We start from the raw sequence: 26,429 nt of genomic DNA on the forward strand, positions 1-26,429 counted from the left end.
AATATACAGTTTTCTTGACACCTTACGAACAGGTCTGTAGGTCACAATTTGAGAAATAATGTTATCATGAAATGATTAGTTGGAATGTCTCTATAGTCTAGGATTTAAATCACATTTCAGGTAGAAAGCTGGCCAAGACTCTTAGGATTGTAAGTGGCAGAAATCCAATTGAAACTGTCATAACAATAAGATAAAATATTGGCTCACAGATTTGTGGAGATTACTGAGAAGAAAGAAAAGAAGGAAGGAAGGGAGGAAGGGAGGAAGGAAGGGAGGAAGGAAGGAAGGAAGGAAGGAAGGAAGGAGAAATAGACAAATCCACAAAATCAGAGTTGGAGACTTCATTACGTCTCTCTCAATAATGGATAGAACAACTAGAAAGAAATCAGCAAGAATATAGAAGAATTCAACAGCACAATCTATCAACAGGATCTAATAGACATTTATAAAACACTTCACACAACAATGGCAGACTTCAAGCTCTTTTCAAGTACCTATGGAACAGATGCCAAGATAGGTTAAATCCTGGGCATAAAACAAATCTCAACAAACTTAAGAGAATTGAAACCATACAGGATATGTTCTCTGACCATGTTTGTGGATTAAAAGACTCAACATAGCAAAGAAGTTACTTATCCCCAAATTTACAGGCTTAATCAATCCCTATCAAAATCCAAGCAAGATTTTTTAGAAGCCACAATTAGTAATAAAAAACACACAAATAATAGTCAAAATTAAATAGTAAACTATCTCAAAATTCAATAGTAAAAAAGCAAACAATCCAGTTACAAAATGGGCAAAAGAAATAAAGAGACATTTCACTGAAGATGATATGCAAATGGCAAATATGCAGATGAAAACTTTCAGTATCTTTAGCCATTAGAAAAATGCACATTAAAACCGCAATGACTATTTTCACCCACCCATCAGAATGTCTAAAATAAAACATAGTGACAACACTAAATGCTGGCAAAAAACGCATGGAAACCGGATCACTCACACATTGCTAGGTGGAATTTAATGGAAAACAGTTTGTAAATTTCTTTTAAAAACTAAACCTGCAAAACCATACAACCTAGCAATTGTACCCTTTGGCATCTACCCCAGAGAAATGAAGACATATGTTCACACAAATTCCACGAATGTTTACAGCAGCTTTATTTGTAATAGTCAAACCCTGGAATCAACCCAGATGTCTTTCAACGGGTGAATGGTTAAACAAACTGTGGCACTTCCATACCATGGAATACTCAACAGTTAAAAAGAATAAACTATTGATACATACAGTAACTTGAATGACTCTCCAGAGAACTATACTGAGTGTAAAGAGCTAGTCCCAAAATGTTACATATTGTATGGTTCTATTTACATAACATGAAGAATAGATTCGTGGTTAGCAAGGCTTAAGGAGAGGGCGGGGTGGGGGGGAAGTGGGTGTGCCTATAAATAAATACATGCAGAATCTCTGTGATGATGGAAATATTCTGTATTTTCACTGCAATGAAGTCAATATTATCATTATGATAGTATACTGTAGTTTTACAACATGTTATCATCAGGGAAAGTGGGTAAGAGGTGCGTTGGTACTGCCTTATTTCTTACAACTGTATGTGAACCAATATAATAAATAAATAATGAAAAGTTAAGTTAAAACAATTTTAAGGCCGGGCGTGGTGGCTCACGCCTGTAATCCCAGCACTTTGGGAGGCCGAGGCGGAGGGATCACAAGGTCAGGAGTTCAAGACCAGCCTGGCCAATATGGTGAAACCCCGTCTCTACTAAAAATACAAAAATTAGCCAGATGTAGTGGCGGGCGCCTGTAGTCCCAGCTTCTCGGGAGGCTGAGGCAGGAGAATCGCTTGAACCTGGGAGGCAGAGGTTGCCACGAGCCGAGATCGGGTCACTGCACTCCAGCCTGGGTGACAGAGCAAGACTCCGTCTAAAAAAAAAAAAAATTAAGTTGACTACTAAGAGTTCTTGTTTATATACCTTATATCTATTAATATTTACCATATTGGAAATCATTACAGAAAAAATTGGGGGTGCGATGGTACTGTCTTATTTCTCACAACTGTATGTGAACCAATATAATAAATAAATAATAAAAAGTTTAATTTAAAAATTTTAAGTTGACTTCACTAAGAGTTCTCATTTATATACATTATATCTATTAATATTTATCATATTGGAAGTTATTACAGAAAAATGTAAAACGTTCATCACACCTTTAAAATTAGCAATGATAAACCCATTACACGTTAACATAAATTTCAAGTTTTATGAAAAAAAGTATTTTCTAGAACAAAAAATTTAGTAAGAAGAGTGGCATTGTTTTATATATTTGCGAATCTCTTTCATGCGGTTTAATAGACATGGGTGGATTCTCCTATTTGCTTCTGTACTCAGTTTCTCAAGATATCTAGTTTTGGTAGAAGAATAAAAGAAAATGTGGTGTTACATGGATGTATAGTTGAAAAAGGGTAGGGTATTTTTAATAGTCATTTTAGTTAATTGCTGATATTCTTTCTTGATACTGTACCAAAACTCAACAAGTAGCTTCCTAAAGATTGGTGACATTATGAGATCACTAATAATATCAATGAATATTTTGCACTCTTTAGTTAAAATCAGTTGGTCCATCTTGCATTTTAACTAGACTTTTCACCCAAGAGTTACTTGATAACATTGTGAATGGTAATTTGAAAAATATTTGTTCACTGAGTTATTTTATGCAAATCTTCCCATGTTGACACCTTCCATTATAGAATATCAAAAAAAAAAGTTTGTTAATATCATCGCTGACTTTATAAAAGCTGTCTTTAAGCATTGGCAAATACAGGCTTTCCCAAATTATGTTTTTTGTTTCAAATTTTGGTATTTATCGACAACAAATACTTCTATTTTCCTTGAAATCACAGGCCCACATTGTTCATTAGCTAGAAAACATCTGCCAAATACCTAAATAACTATTTTTTCTGTCAGTAATTTTTTTTTCAAGTAAAAATGGTGCAGCATAGAAAAGTGGCTATTTAAGCTTACAACTCAAATAATCACACAAGTGCTTTTCCTCAAGACAATAATTAGTTGTGCTTCGTGTGCAGAAGAAGTGCTTCATGAATACTTTGCATTTTGTCACACAGAACATGAAAAAAGGGTATTCACATGTAAAATGTAATACAATTAGTTTAACTGCTACATCTATGATATCCGTAAGTGAAAATGGCATTAATTTTTTAATGTCAGTGTATAGCTATAAAAAACGACAATGATTATTAACACAGTTTGGTGCCACTGACTTGATTCTTGTTAAGGCACCAGCAGTTTTACTCATCATTTCTTCTGTATCATCATTGAAATGGCAACACAGTGAAAAGAGCAAGTAATGTCATAATAAATTATTTAAGAAGTTTTAACTTCATAGACACCCTGAAAGTATATGAGACCCCTAGGGCCCTAGGGATCACTTTTTGACAGCCCATTGCTCTGTTATAACAAACCTTTTCCTTCTTTAGTTCAACTCGTGTTTACCATCTCCTAGAGCAGTAAGTAGCACATGGTAGATGCCCAATAAATATTTGTTGAATAAAGAATGAATTAATGAGCTGGGCGTGGTGGTGTGCTTCTGTAGTCCTAGCTACTCAGGAAGCTAACAAGGGCAGATTGCTTGAGTCCAGAAGTTCAAGGCTACAATGAGCTATGATAGTGCCACCACACTCTAGCCTGGGTGACAGAGTGACAGAACCAGATCCCACCTCTAAAAAAAGAAAAGAAACAATTTAGCCCTGTGGACACTTGATTGAAATATCTTTACCACCCCAGAAATGTACAAAGACAAATATTTCAAAAAAGAAAACAATAAGAATAGTTCTAGTTTGAGATTTAGTATATAAAAGCAGATGTAAACCAGGAAGTAAACATATTATGGATATGACAGAGATATTCATAAGGCATCATAGAAACCATGGGTTCTTTCTTATCTCAAATGTCCATGCAAGTCCAAAGGGAAATGGCAGTAACCCTTTTATTAAGATGAATCAGATGATAAATTCATTATAAAAATATGGGCTTTATGATTACCTTAGAAAAGTCTGTTAAACTAGATTATTCTGAGAGAAAAAAAGTGTCTAAAACAGTATCCCTGTAGCATTATTACCCAAACATCTAATACACTTATTATGATTACCTTTATTTTTGTTATAGGTTTAATGTAAGTAGATGACACTGTGCATTCGATTTTATTCTTTACTAAACTGTATACATATTTTTATTCCAAAACATGCCACTTCTTCACCTGAGACATAGAGATAGTTATACAATGTAGTTATTTGAATAAAAAACAAGATTCAAAACCTGCTGTTTTGAATAACACACATACCATCATAGACAACAATAAATAGTAAATAGAATTTGGGGTTAAAAGAAACAAAATCAGGGTTGGAATCCTTGCTCTGCTCTTTTCAGATCTGTAAGTACCTGGATGAGTTTGATTTATATAATCCTGAGTTCCCTCATGTATAAAAGGAAAAGAATAAAATTAATTTAATTTCATAGAATTTCTGTGAGTTTCCAATGAAGTAATGTATGTGAAAGTGGTTTACAAATTGTAATAAAAATTCAATTGATAGTTATATTTATTACCATTTTCCAATTCAAATTAAGTTTGGTTACACCTAAAGTCTTCTTAAGGCATGCTAATATTGGGAAAACCATCTTAATTATAAATATTAAAAATAAAGGAAAATGCCTTTTATTTTTCAAAAAGGAGTAGTGGAAATGTAGATAATCATTTTCTATCTCCAAACTAATCAGCTGTAAAAATCATGCATGTTCTAAGGCTCATAATAAAAACAGAAAAAAAAATTAAGATCCAAGATCAGAGATGAAGAAAGGATTAATCGCAATTTACAAACCACTGAAAAAACATCTTATTGGGCACTTAATGACCTCATTAAAGTAATATATTTTTTCCTCCATTTAAAATATTTTTTGCATATAAAGTATGTCTATCTCTCATGCAGTCAATTATCTCTCACAGCATGAGACCATTCCCAATACATGCACATGAAGGAAGCAACACACTATACTGTTTGTTTGAAACTAACAGGTACACTAGCATATTCTACCATCCCAACATACCTTTAATATCCCAGTGTTAAAAAGGGCTTTTCATAATTATAAACTAGCAATAGTGTATGAATAATCCAGTATGGAGTACTGATTCAATTACTTAAAATGATAAATCTATTGGGAAATCTCTTTATTTTCATTTTATTTTTTTCACAAATGCAGGGAGAAAAAAGCTATAGGGATCATTTCTTGTCTTAGTCTAAGCACCCCTGTGGAGAAGATCCAAGCGTGAAGCTTCCTTTGAAGTGAATGGAATCTCCACACTCATATCAGCTCTGAGGGTATATAGAGGAGAACAAGAAACTGGCCGCATGAAAGCAGCTATTAGCATTTAAATGAGGCTAGGCTTAAAAGAAAATTTATGCATCAAAAAATACTAAGATTTGAAAACGAAGATACAATTTTTTCAATAATCTTAGGTCATGCCATCTTGCATTAGAAACAGGTATTTCTTAGGTCCAACAAAGAAAACAACAATAGAAAATGTTCAAAGAACTTAAAGATTGGTCAGAAATAGGAAACCTATATCATATTGAAATATCACAGATGCCAGGTATTCCTACTGTGGGAACACATAGAAGTCTGGCAACATCCATGGATTGTATCTACCACAAATCCTGATATTTATTCTGTATTTAATACTGGTGTGCCTAAAAAGTGAAGAAAAAATAAACAAAATAAAATAAAAATAATCATCACAAAACAATATTCCGGTTAAGAATTCAAGCATAAATCTTGCTGATGAGGGTAAATTCAGCATAGAAAAGATAATATTCTTTGAATGCAAAATGGATCTGCCATCTACAGAACCAAAATAGAAACACAGATCAGAGTTATTTCAGCAGTATCAATCATATGTCAATCAAGAGCTAGTCTTTAAATAACATCACTGGTGTCGTCACTGTGCTAGGCTGAGTTTAAGTGATAACTCCTGATTTTGAGGTTTACACATACAATATAAGGCAATATATGCGAGGCACCAATAATTTTCTGAGAGAAGAGCATCACAGTAAGCTAAAGTGGTCTGGAAAGGCTTCCTAAATGATTCTCGGAGGATGGAGAACACTTCACTCAGCAGGGTGTGGTGTTGACGTCCCTGATGTAGAGGGAGGTGCCCATGCAGAAACTCGAAAAAAGGCAGAATGATGTCTCTGGAAGATAGGAAGCAGATCAGCTGGACTAGAACAAATGGTCCTGTCAGTGCCTGATGACCGATAAAGGAGGAAGGGAAGGCTGAGATCAGAATGTGGAGGGCTTTCCATGCTAAATCTCTTGTGATTCATAGAATCGCACATTACAGACACCAGGGGTGATTAACAGGTCCAAGCCACTAGGTTACCTGTGATTCCTTCTTCAAGCACCCATGGCAAATTGTCACCCAGTCTGCTTGAAGAAAGGCGTGTAACTGATGGCTATATTGTTCTGAAGCAAACTCCTTACTTTTCTTAAGGCCCTCATATTTTCTCCTTGCATACACCAGGAACTCATATACCATGAACTCTCAAATCTGGGTTTAAAGCATGACTGAATAACATACACTTAGTGCTAGGAGACTTCAGGGGACGCAGATGGAACTAGCTAGGGGTGGTATCACAGAAAAAGAGGACTTCAATAAGGTTTTGAATCATGAGTAGTATTTAAGTGCAGAGAGGAAAGGGAAGGTTTCTAGGCAAGGAGATTTTATGAGCTTGAAGCTTGAAGACAATAAAAAATATGCATTAAAGGAAAAAAACCTACAAAGATCAGCCTATTAGCACAAAGTTTTTGAGACTAGTGAATGTGAACACCCTCGAAAAATATTAAGAGTTTGGATTTGTTGATGTAGATGAAGGGTCTCTAACCCCTGGGCTACAGACTGGTACTGGTTTGTGGCCTGTTAGGAGCCAGGCCACTCAGCAGGAGGTGAGCAGCGGGCAACCAGTGAAACTTCATGTGTATTTACAGCGCTCCCCATCACTGGCATTACTGCCTGAGCTCCACCTCCTGTCAGATTAGCTGCAGCATTAGATCCTCTTAGGAGTGCAAACTCTCATGTGAACTGCGCATTTGAGGGATCTAGGTTGCACACTTCTTATGAGAATCAAATGCCTGATGATCTGTCACTGTCTCCCATCACCCCCAGATGGGACTGTCATATTACAGGAAAACAATCTCAGGGCTCCCACTAATTCTACATTATGAGTTGTATAATTATTTCATTATATATGACAATGCAATAATAATAGAAATAAATTGCACAATCAATGTAATGTGTTTGAATCATCCCCAAACTGTTCTCCCTACCCTCCCCTTCTGCTCTGCGGAAAAATGGTCTTCTATAAAACCAGTCCCTGGTGCCAAAAAGGTTGGGGATTGCTGATGCAGAGAGTAAGTTGTTACAGTGGGTTCTTGAGTAAAACTGGAGTTTAGGATGTGAGGAAAACATATTCTGAAAACAGCATTTTAGGAAGACCAGACTAATGATAGTGGACAGGGTAGACTAATTTGGAGAAAAACTGAAGGCAGAAATACGAGTTAAGAGTCTTTTCAATTAGAAAAGTAATAAGGATGAAATTAGCAAACACTTTAAAAAACAATTTGGGATTACCTGGTAAAGCTGTACAGGCACATATGCTATGGCCCAACAATTCTGTTCCTTTGTACATTCCTAAAGAAACTCTTCACATATGCACCACAAAACATGTATATAAGCATTATTTGTATCAGTAGAAACCTGGAAACTACCCAAATATTCATTAAGAGTAGAATAAATAAATTGCAGTGTATGCACACAGACCAATGAAAATAAGTAACTACAGCTACACCAACATGTAAGAACCACCAAAACATGTTGACTGAAAAAAAAATTCACAAGAGAATTATATATATTAATTATGTTGTTAATTATCTCTATGTGTACACATATATAAACTTCTTTGCAAATTGTATTGATTGCTTATTTCATGCTTATGAATTTCAAAAACATAAAATGACTATATTTTGTTTACAAATACATACAAATGTGGAAACCCTATAAGGGAATGATAATAAAGTTCAGGATGTCATTTACCTCTGAGGAAAGGAGGAGTGCACGACTAAGAAGTGGCAGGGCCTTCTGAGGTTCTAGCAATATTCCATTTCTTAAGCTGGAGGTTTTTATAAGAATTCACTTTTTGATTTATATACTATATTAAATACAGTATATATGTTTAATACAATATACTATATTATATTATATTTAATATATATTTAATATACACTATATTTAATATAAATATACACAATATATACTATATATTTAACATATATATTTATATAACATAGGTACTTTTATATACCCTTTAGTAGTTGTGATATATTTCACCAGTTAAAATGTTTAAAACAAATAATAAAGACTTGACCTAGAATTATAACTGTGGACACATAAGGGAATGCATGGGTGGTCAGATGCATGTTTCAATCATTTGGATAAGATTATTGCAAGAGTCAATTTTGAAGTGGCAATACTAGTGCAGAGGATAAACGCTCCAAATCAATTATGCTCTAAAACTATTACTTGGATTTGGAATGAAAGAGTAACAATTCTAATAATCTTTTCTTAGGCTTTTTGGCAAAGGGTGGCCTGGTAGATGGATAGCAGGCATGAACTACTAAGGCATGCTAGCGTCTATTTATCCACTCAGAAGTACAATGCAGTAAGTTTCTCAAAATATGAGCTGCAACCTGGTGGTCTTCCATCCCACTCCTCTGTCCCACTAATTCCATACCTGGTATTGATTCCCTGACTAGTTATAGAATTTCTCTTTCACTTTTCCAAAAATATTTATAGAAAATGAAGGCTTATGGTCTTTCTCCCTCTCTCCTGCCCTCTGTTTTTACCTTCCTTTCTCCTGCAGTGTTGACTGTGCACAAACTAAATGTCAATCCTGTATAAGGTACTGAGAGCCAAAGGTGAAGAGGCATGGGTCTTAGCTTTCATACTAGATGTAGTGGGTATACTACTTTTCTATTGTTGCTTTAACAAATAACATACCTAGCACCTTAGAACAATACAAACTTTTTATCTTACAGTTCGGTAGATCTGAAGTCCAAAGTGTGTCTCTCCAGGCGAAAATCAAAATGTTGATGAGCTGTGTTCCCTTCTGGTGGCTCTAGAGGTGCTTCCATATCCTTCCTCACTTAGGTTGCCGGCAGACTTGTTTCTTCCAGTTGTAGAACTAAGGAAACTGTTTCCTTTCTAGCTGTTGGCCTGGAGTTATTCTCAGCTTCTAGACCCACCTGCAATTCTTGGCTCGTGGTCCCCTTTATTTTCAAAGCCAGCCATAGTAGTCTGGTCCACCTCATGTCTCATTTCTCCCACCTCTTTTCCATCTTTGAATCTCTTTGGCCAACTGTTCTGCCTTCTTTTTCTACTTTGAAGGACCCATGTGATTAGACTTGGCCCACCTGGATAATCCAGGATAATCTTCCCATTTCAAGGTCCTTAATCTTAATCACATCTGCAAACTCTCTTTCATTTGGTAACTAAAGATAACATATTTACAGGTTCCGAGGATTAGAGCATGGACATCTTTGGAGGCCATTAATCTACTGCTACAATGGATTTAAAAAAAAAAACTAAAATGGAAAATAAAAGCTACATGCTTATTAATGTGCAACCATGGAGCATTGATTAATGGAGCAACCATGCCAGGAATGAATGAAACCCACCATTTGATTTAGTGTATTTCTCCAGTTTCTTTTTCTGGAAAGAAAGTTGCAATAAGTGAGGGGCATAGCACAATAAGCATTCAACAATACACATAGTAGGCATTCAACAAATAGAAGATCTCCTATAACCCAAATGCCCTCACTAATACCACCCTCCAGTGTTTTCCCTTTAATACTCACGCAGTAATCCAATCTTCCACCTAGTTAGATTGACAAGAAGACCTGCCTTTTATCAGATTCCCCTTCCCAGGCAATTCACAAGGATCATGACATGTTCCACAAGTTAGTTCTGGTGTTCTTTATTGCTTCTCCCTCTGCACTGCTACCCCAGGCTCCTGTGTAAGTCAGATCATGTCACCAACATTTCCCTACTGCCATGGCTGGTAACAAATAGCTCTTACATCTCTTTCGCAAGGACTGACCCACACCTTTCTTTTTGCTCTTCTAAGCTCAGCAAAGACCAGTATACAGGAATGAGAAAAAGAATACAATGCAGGCAGGGAATATAAACTTGGATGTTCATTATTGCTGTCCACAGAGTCATTCATCCATACCCCCACACACAATGATTCCCCTACTGACCATCTCTCTTTTATTTCTCTGCTTCTGGGACCAACCCGGTTGCTAATGGCCAGAGTATGCTTTGACAAGTCCCTTCCTATAGCTGCTTCAAGCATACAAGCAGCCAATTTCTCAGGTGTCCTTTCCTGAGGAGGCTGTGACCCTTATCTTTGAAGAGTAAAACTCCTGCTGGTGAATAGCTCCCAGGCACAACAACCTCCCACAACAGGAAACAGCATCATGGCTGGCGGGTCAAGCATTAAGAAAACACTGACATTTAAAAATGGTTGTTTCTTTTAGCCATCAATGTTTCTGAAACACAGAGCTCTAATCTCAAGGCATTTCCTTGCAATAATTTTTATGTTATTTTTCTCATAGAATAATTTTATGTTGAAAGAAACTTGCAGTCCTCTAGGCTAACACCTCAATGTATGATGAAAAAACTGACACCCAGAGAGAAGTAATGTATACGTCACACAGCTTATTACCAATAAATGTACAATAATGAGAAGCAGGTATTCTGACTTCCCGTGTGCTAATTTGAAAAGCTTTTTTCTATTTGTGTTAAAACCAAAAAATTTCAATACCCTTATGTGGTTTTCTGTTGCTGCTAAATATGACTGGAAAGTCTATGTCATTCTTTGTACATCTGGGTTTTTTTTCTTGTTGAGAACAAATCTCCAATGCCATCCTATTATGAACCTAAAATAGAGACACAAATCTAAAGCTGCAAAATAAAAAAGAATACAAATATGATAAGCAAGAAAACTATTTGTGTAGTTTTACATTTGTGTAGCAAATATACTTCATTTTCAGTTTTCAAGTTATTGAAAAGAAATAGATTATGACAAAGGAGGCAGATTATGCCCTTTGAACATAAAATTCATCATTTTTTTCCAACAGTAAATGTATCACATGCTTATTTGGGAAAATCCAGAAAAGTATAATGCATTTTCTAAATTTCACAAAATTGAGACCACTCAAATATTTTAAAGGAAACTATCAATCCTTCCAATTTAATTTATACACATAAATACTTTTTGTACATTTTTCACTTGAAAAATATGAGGGATTTCTTCCCTTTTTATTAGGAAATTAAATTCATCCATCTGGTGAAAAACTAAGTAAATTTCTTATTTAAAAAATCAAAGCTTTTGGAGCTTTGAGTGTCATAGACATTGATTTCCAGAAAATTGTAGTGATTCCATGATTTTTCTAGCTTCTATCACCATCATACCAGTTCTTAGACTGCTAGTAATCTCTTCATATCAGGCAGTAGAGAAAAGCAGTATTTACTTAGACTTCACTTGACCTTGTAATCTCAACTGTCCAGTCAAATAACATTAGCCTATTCAATTTCTCCAGTATATCCACTTTCTATCAACAGATTTTCCTCTTGTATCTTCCTACTTCACCTCAATCCACCTTATCTCATCATACTAAACTATGTATGGACAAAGTTTTTATGGTTTATATTATCTTATTTATATAAACTATCATGTATTCTCTTTGTGTTAGGCTATTTTCATTCCACAAGCATACTGAGTGTATTAACTACTTGTGTGAAACTGCCAGCAGCATTTTAACACTCCTTTTTCAGAATCAAATATTTGGTTCTTCATTAGTGCTGAATCTACATAAAATTGATGACCCTGGTTGTCCTTGTAATTATTTTATTTCTAAACCCTGGACTTTATAGAAAGAATTAATTATAGCATGTATCTGTTTTTTAACTGCGAAATTGGATAATGGCTTAATAGCTCAAGGGGATTACTTGTGGGAATTTAAGACCTGTAAGATTCAATTTCCCCCATGTCTATTTTCCTGCAGTGATCTATGGCTTTGATTCCAGTCACAGATCCACCAAAATGAGGGTAGGTCATGGATATGTTGCTGTGTCTTTTTTTGAAAAGTCATGGATTTTCCTTGTGAATCAGCCTTGCTAGCACAGCCAGAAACCTAAGGTAGGTAGAGACAACATAACTTGGCATGGAGAACTTACCTTGTGAAACCAAATTAACTTTTTTAATTAAAAAAAAAGTTTAACTGCATCTAATAGGTAGGTAGTTCATATTTAATAGTATTTTAACAAAGAATAGTTTTACTTGCTAAGTGTTTATACCCTACAGATGGTTGCCCTGACTATACATAAAAACCACCTGGGGAATTAAATAAACACCTATCCTCGGGCCCCACCCCCAGAGAGTTTTGTTTATTGGGTCTGAAGCCAGTCCGAGGCAGGGCTGAGGTGGCAGGATTGTTAAAGCTTCCCAGGTGATTCTAATATGTAGACAAGATTGAGAATCATTATGTCTAGCCAGTAGTACTGAAACGTATTTTTCTCCTCTGAATAACAGCATTGTGTGAAGTTAGAGGGGCCAATTTCTGGGGAATGTGGGATATATGAATCATAATTAGGCCCTCTAAGTGTCAACCACAGTCTGGGCAGGGAACACCTGTGGAGCAAGGAATTAAAAATGAATGATACCCTTTGTATTGTAACGATAATACATTCTACTCTCCGGGAAGCTATTAAAATATTCCCCTTAAGATTTTTTTTTTCAAATCTATTTTAAAGTGTCACAAGAGAAAGTAATATGGGATATTCAAGAAGGCTCTGTATACTTAACCTGGCAGAGCTTTCTGGAAAATATTTTGTTGTTTTATTTATGTGTTCATCATGCAGTGATAGAGGGGAGAATGTGAGTTGGCCTGAGAAAAGAGAGAAAGAGATTTCACATTTGCATTACATCAAGGAGGTTCAACTTGGTCTAACTACCTCTTATTCCACTTTTCAAATCTTGAGATCTGTTTGATGCATAAATTTCATAAATGTTCACCTCATTTAAATGATAATTTATGTCCTTAGAATATCATTTCTAGCTTTGTTCTTCTGCACACCCCTGGAGCTGATCAGAGTGTGTTGATCCCTTTGTTTTCAAAGGAAACTTTATGTTCACACTCTCGCTACAGGGGTTAGCAGAGTAAGACGAGAAAATAGTCCCATAGTGTTTCTGCCAGCTAATGAGGAAAATTTTTCCTCCTATATATATCATGATAGGTAATTGAATTAGTACTCCAGTAGGAAAGGGTTTGCTATTTCATACTTCTATAGTCTTTTCTTAACACCATGAAATTAAAGACATGCCAGCATGGAGCTGCCTATTCCTGATCGATTTCAAATAAGCAATGTAGTATATTATTGCTTTTATGTGCTTTTACAGCACATGCTGTGCAAGATAATTGACTCCATGACAGATGTCTATATTTCAGAGGAAAATTTATTTGTTAAAGAACAAACATGTATTACTTTAACATGGGGCTATTCATTATATTGCCCACAAGGTGCTTTTTGATGACTTCTAAATTGAAATTAATATTTTCTCTTGTCGTTCTGAATATGCATAAGCAAATTTGACTGTTTGATATAACCATTTTGAAGCTTATTCTGCTACTTGAATGTAACCTTCTGTACTCTTAGATCATGTTTGAAGTGCTGGGAAATGAGAAAGTGTGCATTTGTTTTTTTTTTAATTTTCAAAGAAGCCTGTAGGCCTGAACAGTTGCCAAGTTGTTCAGAGTAAGTTCTGTCCATCAGACCCATCTTTACATAAAATGACTATGAGAAAAGTCTTAAAGGGTACAGGAAATATTTTCCATGAATCCTCCTTTACTCTCTCACTTCTGCTTGAAATGTCACTCTTTTTCAAGGCAAACACTAGTAGGAAGTAGCATCTGAAGTCCCTAACACTTTTGTGTGAGGCAAACTGACTTGGAGAACTGGCAGTATTAGTTGGACAAGGCTGCTATGAAATAAAACTGAAAAAAGAGAGACGTTTACAAAGGAATGTCCATCTCCATCTACTTTGCAACACTGACGGAGACCAATTCTCCTGTCTGTAAATAAACCCTCCCATTCTTTTAGCTGTCAGAGTTTCTCCAGGAAGAAACTAGACCCTTTATCCTCATCAGCTGACTGGTCACCTTTTGCAGTAAGATCATACCATTAATATAAAATTAAAATAATCAATACCAAGGGATTACCATATTCAGAAAGGATATAAGTTTAATAAGGTTCTTTCAAGGACTATTTCTCTTTTGATGAGAAGAAAAAGAGAAATTTCTACCCTCTTGAACTTTCAATGGCCTAGCCTTTTGAGCATTAGAGGAAACAAGCGGGGGGCGGAGAAAGAGATTTTTTAAATTAAATTGGATATAGTATTTTTGAAAGTAAAACTGGGACACTAAGGACTAGTTTTGTAATGACAGAGTGCAGAGACAACCTCAGGTGGGGTGGAGCCCTGAGGAGAGTGAAAAGGGAGGCTTCTCCTCACCTAAGTGGAGGTGGTTGGCTCCACTGCCCAAGCTGGCCTGCACACAGAATGGAATGCCTTGAGGCTGTAAGTCTGAGGCTCTGAGGTGAGGTGCACTACTGGGCGTCTGACAGCACAGCTAAAATTGGCTGTGCCAACCAGTGAGAGGTGACAGCATGCCGGCAGCCCTCGCTTGCTCTGGGCACCTCCGTGGCCTTGGCGCCCACTCTGGCCGCGCTTGAGGAGCCCTTCAGCCCGCCGCTGCACTGTGGGAGCCCCTTCCTGCAATGGCGGAGGTCGGAGCCGGCTCCCTCAGCTTGCAGGGAGGTGTGGAGGGAGAGGCGAGGGCGGGAACCAGGGCTGAGCAGGGCGCTTGCAGGCCAGCTAGAGTTCCGGGTGGGCGTGGGCTTGGCGGGCCCACACTCGGAGTGGCCGGCCGGCCTCGCCCGCCAGGGCAGTGAGGGGCTTAGCACCCGGGCCAGCAGCTGCGGAGGGTGCGCCTGGTCCCCCAGCAGTGCTGGCCCACTGGCACTGCACTCGATTTCTCGCTGGGCCTTAGCTACCTCCCTGCGGGGCAGGGCTCGGGACCTGCAGCCCGCCATGCCTGAGCCTCCCCCAAGGCTGTGGGCTCCTGCGCTACCGAACCTCCCCAAGCCTCCTAGACTAGCGCTGCCCCCTGCTCCATCAGCACTCTGTGTCTAGCTCAGGGTTTGTGGATGCACCAATCAGCACTCTGTATCTAGCTAATCTGGTGGGGACCTGGAGAATCTTTATGTCTAGCTAAGGGATTGTGAATACACCAATCAGCACTCTGTGTCTAGCTCAAGGTTTGTAAATGCATCAATCAGCACCCTGTGTCTAGCTCAAGGTTTGTAAATCCACCAATCAGTACTCTGTATCTAGCTGATCTGGTGGGGACTTGGAGAACCTTTATGTCTAGCTAAGAGATTGTGAATACACTAATCAGCACTCTGTATCTAGCTAATCTAGTGGGACTTGGAGAACTTTTGTGTCTAACTCAGGGATTGTAAACGCACCAATCAGCACCCTGTCAAAACGGACCAATCAGCTCTCTGTAAAACAGACCAATCAGCTCTCTGTAAAATGGACCAATCAGCAGGATGTGCGTGGGGCCAGATAAGGGACTAAAAGCAGGCTGCCCCAGTAGCAACTCGCTGGGGTCCCTTTCTACACTGGAGAAGCTTTGCTCTTTTGCTCTTTGCAATAAATCTTGCTGCTGCTCACTTTTTGGGTCCACACTGCCTTTATGAGCTGTAACACTCACCACGAAGGTCTGCAGCTTCACTCCTGAGCCAGTGAGACCACGAACCCACCAGAAGGAAGAAACTCCAAACACATCCAAACATCAGAAGGAACAAACTCCAGACATGCTGCCTTTAAGAACTGTAACACTCACAGAGAGGGTCCGCGGCTTCATTCTTGAAGTCAGTGAGACCAAGAACTCACCAATTCCAGACACACCAGGACCTTGAGGGTGTGAGAGGTTACCGTCAGGTTACATTTAGAAGTGTTGTCCCAACTACTCTCCCACATTTAAGGCAAAAATATAGTCACCACTGAACAAGAAAATCATCTTGGCACAAAAATGTACTGAATTGAAGAAAGAAAACAAAGAGAAACAAAACACCATAGCCTAGAACTCCTGCCCCTCCACATTTTCTTCTCTCTCTCACACCACAAACTTTCTCTCTGTGACACACACACACACACACACACAGAGGAGAGACGTATTTGAGGGAGGGTCTCAAGTGCTTGCTTTCCTTAACAACCCAGACCAGGAGGAAGAGATAAAGTGACTTAGGAGATGCCTAAAGATGAAGAACAGCCCGGGATCCGTAAACAGACTCAGCTCGGTGTCTTCTCGCACCTTCTCAGAATCAAGTTTCCAAAATGAGGGTCATCCGCCTGCCTTGGAATTTGGGTTGGGAAGTGGATGGAGTTCCTGGACACATGCTCTAGGCCCTGACCAGTCTGGCCACTGCTCACTAGGAATTCTGTTGGGAGGGTGTACAACAGATTTTCCAACTGGTCTACAGCGAGCATCGGTAGTTTCCCTATGGAGAAAATGATTTTCTTTCTGGGAATCCCCCTATAGCCTGAAGGCTTTGCCTCATTTCCCATAGCTCCTCTCCGGTGTACCCCTTCGGTTCGCACTTTCCTACCTTCTTCCCAGTCCACTGGCTTCTCCTTCTTTATCTTCCTCAGTGTCCCTTCTCACAACCTCCCTGCTACCACACCAGATTCTGAAGGGGAGGAGTTGTCTGGAAAGACCAGAGCTGGGTGCTGGGGATCTGGAGCAGCTCGGGACCCGCGCTGCAGGGAGCTGGGATGGGAGAGGTGAGGGAGAGGAGGATGGGACTCTGGGAGAAAGAGAGGGGGCTGGGCTGGCGCTGGGGATGGAAGAGGCGAGGTGAACGCACTCAAGCGGTTACCTGCAGACAGGGAGAGACAGTGGCAAATACCTGCCTTCAATTAAACGCATATCAATTTGTGTGTGGGGTCAGTACTGCACATCATCAAGCCTCTTGGGTATAAAACCTTCCTACTGGAACTCTCCAGCCCCGCCCCCACCACCCCACGCGCGGCTCCCTGCTTTCTCTTGCTTTGGGGTGAGGCTGGGGATGTGGGTGGCTCCAGAGTTCCCTGCCCGCAGTTTAGGGGCGAAGTGATCGGTGTGTGCGCGCTGGGCACTCTGCGGGTTAAAAAGGTTTAGCAGAAAGGGATGCAGATGGAGGCGGGAAGCCAGGCTAAGAAAGGGATACCGACCTCCCTCCTCGGGTCGGAGGTGTGAACTGGGAAGCACTGCGCAGACCTGAGCGAGGTGGCCTGAATCCAGGGGCCGGGCAAGGGGGTGGTGTGAATAGAAATAGCACATTTCCCAGGCTTTCAGCCCCGGTACTCTGCCATCCTTCCAGTTCCATGCACTCAGCCAGGTCTCCAGGCTGGAGCAAGGGCTGGGGGTCAATGGGTCCTTCCTTCTCTCGGGAAACGTTCTTCTGGCGCGAAGCTGGGCGGAGGGAGAGTCGGACATTTTCCTCTGCTTCTCTCAGGGCAGCTGGCGTGGCCACCTCGCAAGGCTGCTTCTAGGGACACGAGACTCGGGAGGGTCAGAGACTTTCAGGCCGGGCCTTCACTCCCTTCCCCGGGGCACTTGGGCAAGAGTTCCAGCTCTTGGCTACCTCTGGCCCGCGCGTGAGTTCAGACACCCAGCACACGCGACCCCCGCAGGGAAACCCCGGGAAGCTGCGCGCAATCGCTGGGGACTCGCCAGGGCTCCACTTCCCAAGCTCCGCGCCCCCTGCGCCCAAAGAGGCAGGGCGGAGCAGAGGCCGCCGGCGTGGAGGAGGCGAGCGCGGGGCTGGCCCGGGAGCCGCCCCCGGGGAGGGACTGAGACCTGCCCCAGGAGTCGAGGGCGAGCGGCGGACCCGGCTGGGCCCGGCGCACGCCGAGGAGAGGGAGCCCCCGCCACCGCCGCTGCCTCCGCGTGCTCAGCCTGTCCCCGCCCAGGGAGCCGGAGCCTCCAACTAACTCCGCCCGCCGCTCCGCCGCCCGCAGGCTCCGGCTTCCGTCCCGGACAGAGCCCGTGGTCGCGCAGGTTGGTGTTGTTGCCGCTGCTGCCGCCACTGCGAGGCGGTCAGGGCAAGGGTGAGGGTGGGGGCGCGGAAGGGGGCCTGGGCTCGGGATCCTGCTGCCACCAATTCCTGGTGCCCCAGGAGGTTGTTGCTTTTTCTCCCGGGCTGCCCGGGTCGGGGGTGGGGGGATGGGGCGGGGATCCAGCGATGCGGCCAGGGAGGATTTTGGGGACTGAGCTATTCTCGCATTTCCCAAACCTCTCTCACGACCCTTCATCACCATTATTAAGTCCCTGGCCAGTTTGTGAGGGGTCGTCCTCCCCTCCGGTCCTTCTCACCTCCGCACTTCTCCTTGTGCCCTCTCCCTAGGGGGTACAATTTGTTCATTCGCCTTTTCTGCCCCCAACTTGGAGAACTCTCCGTGACGCCTAGAAAGCCTCCTCGGTTCTCCGCCCGCCCTTCAGTCTAGTTTGGGGAAGTAGAGGCCGCCGCGGAGTAGCAACCTGGGGTGTGGAGTGGGGGCGAGTGCCGGGAAGCAGTGGAAATTCCTTCCCCTCTTTCTTTCCCGTCCTTGCCCAGCTTTGCTCTCTTCCTGCCGTTTTGCCAGCCTCCGAATGTAATACGCGGGCGAAGGGCGATCTCCAAGGCAGAATGGGAAGTATCCACCACTTGGGATACTAGTTAAGTCTAGGTTCAGTCACCTTCCCAGCTCTGTGGCCTTGGGACCCGCCCCATCGGAACCTGTATGTTGTCATCTGCAAAATATGCGTCAGCTCTGCCTGCCGCTGAGGGTAGTTGTGGGGCTCCCTTGGGATGACTTAGGGTATTACGTGATTTTGAGCACGGTCTCTTGTCTCGTGCAGCTGCCTGATGGCAGGTCCTGTGTTCTGATCGTCTGAGTTCAGGTCCTTTGGCTGAGATGTGATTATCTCTCTGGGTGATTTGGTCAGTAGCTTTGCGGGGCTAAAAGGCATGTGTTCCTGGAGCTGGTCATTGGGGTTCAGAGTTGAAATCGTGTCGTCCCCACCAATCCCTGTGTACAAAGCTATGGACCTTACATCCTGTGCCTTTGTGGTCATAGAAATTCAAGTAGAAGGAAGATCTTATTGGACTTTGTTTGCTTCAGATGTTTTACATTCTTTACAATCGCTTTTCTCTTCTAGGTGCAAACTTAAATTTACTGCTAATTCTAATAATCCAGGAAGGATACTTTCATTTTAGTAAAATCAGACATTTAGCTCAAATAACATGTGACATATTGTTTGTAAATTTTCAGTTTATAATCACAGGCACAAAAAAGCATAGTTCATGCCATTCTAGTTACTTTATAAAGCAAGTAAATGGCCTAAAAAATCAGCTTTACAGGAAGTCAGGGCTGCAGTGAACTGTGTTTATACCACTGCACTCCAGCCTCGGTGACAGAGCAAGACCCTGTCTCAAAAATAAATAATCAGCTTTAGAATTGATATTAAATGGTAAGCCCTGTCGTTCCTGCATTCCTGACTTAATAGGCATTTTCATTCCGCGATGCACTCTGCTATATGCTTTAAAGATATAAAGATATAGAGTATGTTCCTTGTCCTGAAGGGCCTTCCAAGGTAACTTAAAGACTATGTAGTTTTATTTCATATTTTTATATGAACAGTCTTCTAATGACTATACATGGCAAGTAGAATGAGGTCAAGAATGCATTATCAAAGGCCCTTTAAGATCATCATTTGGCCGGCTGCGGTGGCTCACGCCTGTAATCCCAGCACTTTGGGAGGCCGAGGCGGGCAAATCACAAGGTCAGAAGTTCCGTACCAGCCTGGCCGACATGGTGAAATCCCATCTCTACTAAAAATACAAAAAATTACTTGGGCATAGTGGCAGGCACCTGTAATCCCAGCTACTTGGGAGACTGAGGCAGGAGAATCGCTTGAACCTGGGAGGTGGAGGTTTCAGTGAGCTGAGATCACTCCACACACTCCAGCCCTGGTGACAGAGTGAGACTCTCTCAAAAAAAGATAAAACTAAATAAATAAATAGATAAAAAATCATTTGGTGAGTTTGCATAATTGGAAGAAATAACAAGTTTGTTAAGACATTGCTTTCTAAAATAAAATGCCATGTGCTCCTACTTCATCAAGGTGCACTTGGAAATAAAATGAATTCTGTGTTTTTAGAATGAAAGCTTAGGAAAACATTCTACACATGTATGATGTGCTAATCAAATGTTAAAAGCTATAGAAATTTTAATTCTAACTTCCTTCAACTGTATGTTGTGGTTCCCACATACAGTTTTTTTCTCAACTCCTTGAGGAAGGAAATTATAATGCCTAGAAAAAATATACAGAGATTTAATGTAAGATTTTTAATAAGCTGGACCTTAAGGCCTGGTGGGTCCTGAAGTGACTCTGGAAATTTGACTTTAAAAGTTACGAGACTTGGTGAGACTGAGTGTGGTGGCTCATGCCTGTAATCCCAACACTTTGAGAGGCTGAGGCGGGAGTATTGCTTGAGTTCAGGAGTTTGAAACCAGCAACATAGTGAGACCTTCTCTCTACAAAAAATATTAAAAGAAAAAAAAAGCCAGGTGTGGTGGTGCACGCCGGTAGTCCCAGCTACTCAAGAGGCTGAGGAGGGAGGATCTCTTGAAACTGGGAGGTTGAGGCTATAGTGAGCTGTGATCATGCCACCACACTCCAACTTGGGCCACAGAGAGAGGCCCTGTCTCAAAAAAAAAAAAAAAAAAGACTTAGAATTTTGTTTTTTTTTTTTTTTTTTTTTTTTTTTTTTTTTTTCTTGGGGCAAAGAATGAGCAAGAATTCCACCTGGAAAAGATTGACCAGGGATCTTGACTTTCTGTCTAGGTTGTATTTTGTGTGACTCAGTGACATCTCTGATTCTTTTCCTCCTCCTAGGAAGAATTTATCTATCTGCTATGTGCAGAATTTATTAGGCTTTACATACTGGGCTTTGAGGCTTTGATTGGACTCTCACATTAAGGCATGGCAGGCTGAGGGGCAGCCTGAGGGACATAATGTTAACTTTACACTTGGCTTTATTGTTCCATACCTTTGTTTTTCTATTTGTGAAATGAGATTAAAGATCCTTCTTACTGCCCTGGAAGCCGTGTCATCTGGTATAATAGCCATAAATGCTTCTTGTGTGTATAAGAACTTTCTTTACCATTTGAATGCGAAAGCTAATTATTAAAACCACATACAAATAGCTCAAAAGATGGGCTGTGAATAAAGCTGCTGTTGGTGTCATGTGCTCTCAGGTATCCTGGCAGAAATTTCAGTCATCATGTATCCCTACAATTTACTGTGTTGTGGAGAATAAGGCCTTCATTTTATCTGGGGTTGAATGTTTACCTCTCCAAAATGGGAATAATGAAATACTAACCTGAAAGGACTGTTGTCAGCATTAAATGAGCTAATCCATGTGTGGTTCTTAGCACATTGCCAGTATACAGCTATTGCTCTATGACTCAAGTAGTTATTTTAGTTTCTCCAGGGTAGGGGGAGGGGGGAAGGAATGGAATTTCAGTGGTCCACATTTTAAAAATGAATACATATATAAAAATATAAATACACTCTTCCCCAATATTTTGAAATAGCCATTCCTCAGCTAACTTTTTTCATTCATTTATGCAACAAGTGTTTATTCAGCCCACACTAAACGTTTGGCTTTTTCCTAGGCACTGACATACAATGGTATACAAGACAGTTATAGTCACTTTCTTATGACTGAAAGGTCTAGAGAGGGATGCAGATCTGTAAACAGAGAATTATAAATTTATAAAGAAAATTTTTAAAAAATTATAATGCCATATGATTCATGCCATGATAAGGGTAGTGAAGAGAACCTCAGAAGATAGGATAGCAGGGTCCTGGGTAGGTGAATGTCACACAGTGCATCATCTCATCCTAATTGGGTTGGTGGTGGTGAAGGAAAACTTCCTAGCAGCATGAATACATGAAGACCTGAAGCATGAGTGGTAGTTAGCAGCTGAAGAGGTGGGAAGATTGAAAGAGACCAAAGGGAGCATGATGCCTTAGAATGGAAGTCAGGCAGAAAATGTTAAACAATACATAGGTAAGAGCAGGAGGGAGAGGCGTGGCAATCTGGAGAATCCAAGCTGTCTAAAGGGAAAAGTAGATACTCATTTCAGCCAAGTATTGTCAGGTTGGGATGCAGGCCAAGTGTTGCCAGATGCCTTGATTTCTAAAGAGGAGCTTAAAATTCATATTTTATAAATATGAAATCTCCCAAATATGAACTAACCCAAATGTTTTAAAAACTATTCTGTGGGCCAAACCAGACAAATCTGTAGTTGGAATTCAACCTAGGGCCACCACTTTATGACCTCTACATGTAAGAAACTGAGAGGAGTTTAATGTGGCTAAAGGCATAAACCTTAAACGGACAAGCAAGGGAAGCACTGGCTTTGTGGAACTTGCTAAGGAGGGGTGGCCTAATTCTAAGGACAGTGGGTGACATTGAAGACTGAAACAAGATGAGATTTGTGTTACAAGATGCAGTCTAGCTACTGTATAGAGAATGAGTGGGAGGAGGCAGTGGTGGAAGAAAGATAACCATTTGGAAGCTTACCGTGGTCATAGGAAGAAATTAAGTGTGGCTAAAAGCAAGGTATTCAAGCAGGTGGGAGATGAGTGGATTTCAGAGATATGTATGATACCCCTATGTTGGGATTCAATTCTCCATTAGTCACTCAGACTTTTGCATGTCTTGTGAGCAAAGGCATTTACTGCTTTCATCCCAGACTCTCTTAAAGACATTTGTATGGTAGATAGTTTTGGAAGATAGAGGTATTCTTTCCCTCTGAAGCAAAGGGCAGGTAGGTTTTACTGTCCAGTTTAAAAGATTCAAGTACCCTAAGCTCAGGGTTCCCCTCTGACAATGCAGATCATCAAGTATCTGCTTCACATCACATGGGGGGAACTGAGTTTCAGGACATTGGCACAACTATGCTGATACTACTGCTACTGATATTTTTGTGAGTAGTATAGTCCTTTGTTTCTCACCCTAGAATTTTCTGTCTTCTTCCAGCATCCCCATGAAACTGTGGCACCCTGATTTCGTTAGCCTGCAAGTAGGATAAAAATCTCAGACCCTTAATTATTGATAGCCACTAGCCACATTGTCTGTTTAAATTTAAGTATAAATTAATTAAAAATGGAATACGATTTTAAAAATCCATTCCTCAGTTGCAGTAGCCACATTTCAAATGCTTAATAGCCATACAAGGCTAGTGGATACTGTACTGGGCAGAGAAGATATAGAAAATTTCCATCATTGCAGATAGTTTTATTGGACATTGCTGGTTTAAAGCTTCAAATTTTGTTTGTGTTGGTGAGTGAGTAGAGACAGTAGAAGTTGTTGATTTCGACAGCATAAAAATGATGTTTGACTTCATGTTAGATTCACAGGAGTCCCTTTAATACAAAGAAAATATTTCTGTTTGGATAACCTATACAGTACTTAGTTCAGGCCTCTTGGGGAAAAGAAAAGTGGAAAAGTATCTACACTGTCAATTTGGAGACTGGGCAGACTGGGACCATGTAGCAACAGAAGTTCTACATATAAACAGCGTTACTCAAATCATGTGTGATTGTGAGATTAGGATCTGTGCCCAAAGGAGATTGAACTGCTGAACACTGTCTTGAGCTTTGTCTACTAACCATGCTTAACACAAAAGGACAAGAATTGCATGTTAACAGTGAGGGTCTGGAGCATAGCCAGTCCAGCAGCACCTCGGCAGTGCCTGCTGCAACCCAGCTGTGCTGGTGTGGTCTCACAGAAAGGATGGAGGACAGGAACAAGATTTCCAGATGGCTCTTGTTCAGGGAGTTTAAGAGGGTAGCTTCAAGAAAGGAGGGAACTGGACTCAAAAAATATAAAACATAATACTTTAAAGTACAACTTTAAATGACACCGCAGAATTAAGGAAACAATCAAAGCAGCAGATCTGCTTCCCTATCAGATAGGAGAAGCTCATTTTGTAGAGAGTGTGGGCCACAAGTACTGGGAAGCAAATGCACAAAGAATAATAGGTCCAGCCAACAGTTGCAGTAACAAAGGACGGTTTTTACCTGCATTGAGTGTACAGTTCACTGCTGCATGTACAACATAAGCAAAACAAAAACAGTGGTAGAAATAAATAAAAGTAAAGTCTGAGGCCCTTATGGAAGAATCATACTACTACCTGCTTTTTCCGTGGCTAAAAATGCCTTATAAATTTCATATCTTGAGAATTTCACTTATTTATGCCAAAGTAAGTTTGTTTTAAAATAGTACTCATTTGTAGTGCAGTAACATTTTACTTATATAAAGATTAATTCAAGCTTTTAAAAGTCTGAAGTTTAGAATATTTTAAAGATAGAATTTATTATTTTTAAGCACTTATGTTATCTTTTAGAACTCTTTTGAAGGGAACTTTTATGAAGATATTAGTTAATTTTGAATAGCATGATAATTGTTGCATGTAACTGGAGGCTTCTATAGTGTTTAAAGAAAACTTTTTGTAGGTTATATGTATACCTGTTATTTACATTACTAATTACATCAACAAATCCTTATTTTCATAGACATTCCTTTCAAATTCAGTGAATTCTGGGAGAGCCGAGGTCATATGCTATTAGGGTTTGTATAAAGGTAGAGTCCCTTGCATAAAGCAGGCATTTGTTAACTAGTGAGATTTTTCCCCATTTAGTTTAAAAACGTTACTTTGTTAAATGTCTTTTTCTTTTAATTGTGAGTTTTGAAATCTTATTTTTGTAGGGGTAGAAAACTCTGGTTATCTCCCCCAAATTCCCCTTCCTCAGCCCTGCTGAATCTGGTAAAGTCACTTGTTCAGTGTGCTTTCATTTTTCCTTTCTCTTTTATTTGCCACAGTTCTTACCTGTGCTTCAGGCTTGTCTTGCCTTGTGCCTCTGTTCTCTTCATATAAACAGCATGAAATTGGAAATACTCATTGTCTGTTGTATTTCTGAAGATCAGAATTTTCCCCAGTTTCATGCTGTCCTTTCTCAGGCAGGGTGTGGTAAGTCATCTTTTGAGAACTGTTTCCAGTAAAACTGGAGTATGCTGTTGAAACTGTTGGTGTGCCCTCTTCAGAAACAAAACCAGGAGACTTGCTGTTTATTGCATGAGTCACTGATGGGTTTCAATGAGTGGAAGCAATATTAGATTTTTTTTTTCATGCTCATCAATGCTACATCTTATTTTAAAAGAAGCCTGAAATAAGGAAATAAAAGTAAGCTAATAAACTCCTTCTTTCCCTGGGGAGAATTTAGAATTATATTGGTTCTAGTGTTTGGGGAATAAAGCGGTAACAATGAGGGTTAAAAAAAAATTAGGCCTTGTCCTTTAACCCGTGATACCCTGTAGTGCTCAGAGCTTTCTGGTGTGTACATTTTCTCAAGCTGCACATGAGTAACTTTAATCAGGAGCGAAGTGGTTCTTTCTATTATATGCCATTTCCTCTGTGGCCCCTGCCTCACTTAGCTATTACTGTATGCCTAATCGACCAGAGTGAAATGCCTTTAAAACATTTTCCAGGGAACTAAGGACTTTTTGCAGAATTTTTATAATAGAAAATGCCAAGGAGAGGAAAGTTTTAATGGTTTCTCTGCACAGATAAATGTTTCCAGAGCAGACTGATGATGAGTCAAGGAGCTGTTAATAGGATATGTAAATGTAACCTTTCACCTAGTTACTGTCACTACCTAAGTCATAACTACCTGGTGTCAGTAAATTATTTGAACTAGTTCTTGTCTAGTTCCCTAATTAAACAGACTCTCTTGGTCCCATGATTATCCAGTAGATAGTTAGCACTGTTTCAGCTTGCATTGTCCTGGGTTCCTCCACTCTCCTTCTGTTTTAATAATAGCTCTAAGTCCTATTATAGATTTTCACTAATATCTTTGCCTCCAGCTTTACCTCAGTATTAGTGGAAAAATTTTTTATCTATGTATTTGACAGTGACCTCTAGCTCTTGGGTTTCACTTATTCAACAAATATTCATTCAGTGTCAGCCATGTACCTAGCACTGTTCTTGACCCCAGAGATCCAATAATGAGCAAAAAATTCCTGGTCTGCATTATCATGGAGTGAAGAGTATAGGAGGAAGACAATC

General features: G+C 40.2%; 1 protein-coding gene across 43 annotated transcripts in view, besides 6 other annotated features; it reads left to right on the plus strand.

Annotated features, from left to right (window-relative positions):
- Positions 12,530–13,096: an enhancer, noted in NCBI's record as "NANOG hESC enhancer chr5:102085276-102085842 (GRCh37/hg19 assembly coordinates)". NCBI's record gives its function as "activates a minimal SCP1, AML or CMV promoter by ChIP-STARR-seq in naive H9 embryonic stem cells {active_cell/tissue: H9 hESC(naive)}" and the evidence as "EXISTENCE:reporter gene assay evidence [ECO:0000049][PMID:30033119]".
- Positions 17,292–17,817: an enhancer, noted in NCBI's record as "H3K4me1 hESC enhancer chr5:102090038-102090563 (GRCh37/hg19 assembly coordinates)". NCBI's record gives its function as "activates a minimal SCP1, AML or CMV promoter by ChIP-STARR-seq in naive H9 embryonic stem cells {active_cell/tissue: H9 hESC(naive)}" and the evidence as "EXISTENCE:reporter gene assay evidence [ECO:0000049][PMID:30033119]".
- The window catches only part of PAM (peptidylglycine alpha-amidating monooxygenase), a 276,323-nt gene continuing 267,634 nt past the window's right edge, over positions 17,741–26,429 (plus strand). For 27 of the 43 annotated variants that reach the window (XM_024446066.2, NM_001319943.1, XM_024446069.2 and 24 more), the window contains exon 1: positions 17,741–18,306. The gene's annotated coding sequence lies outside the window, so the exon portion shown is untranslated. The remainder of the gene's footprint in view (positions 18,307–26,429) is intronic. The other 16 variants (NR_157231.1, NM_001364590.2, NM_001364583.2 and 13 more) reach the window with 1 other exon arrangement.
- Positions 17,957–18,506: a silencer, noted in NCBI's record as "silent region_16208". NCBI's record gives its function as "represses an Ori minimal core promoter by ATAC-STARR-seq in GM12878 lymphoblastoid cells {active_cell/tissue: GM12878}" and the evidence as "EXISTENCE:reporter gene assay evidence [ECO:0000049][PMID:35858748]".
- Positions 18,825–19,325: an enhancer, noted in NCBI's record as "H3K27ac hESC enhancer chr5:102091571-102092071 (GRCh37/hg19 assembly coordinates)". NCBI's record gives its function as "activates a minimal SCP1, AML or CMV promoter by ChIP-STARR-seq in primed H9 embryonic stem cells {active_cell/tissue: H9 hESC(primed)}" and the evidence as "EXISTENCE:reporter gene assay evidence [ECO:0000049][PMID:30033119]".
- Positions 18,897–18,986: an enhancer, noted in NCBI's record as "active region_22855". NCBI's record gives its function as "activates an Ori minimal core promoter by ATAC-STARR-seq in GM12878 lymphoblastoid cells {active_cell/tissue: GM12878}" and the evidence as "EXISTENCE:reporter gene assay evidence [ECO:0000049][PMID:35858748]".
- Positions 25,047–25,196: an enhancer, noted in NCBI's record as "active region_22856". NCBI's record gives its function as "activates an Ori minimal core promoter by ATAC-STARR-seq in GM12878 lymphoblastoid cells {active_cell/tissue: GM12878}" and the evidence as "EXISTENCE:reporter gene assay evidence [ECO:0000049][PMID:35858748]".

The sequence above is a fragment of the Homo sapiens genome, chromosome 5, assembly GCF_000001405.40.
Source record: "Homo sapiens chromosome 5, GRCh38.p14 Primary Assembly".
In the NCBI taxonomy this organism is placed as follows: Eukaryota; Metazoa; Chordata; class Mammalia; order Primates; family Hominidae; genus Homo; species Homo sapiens.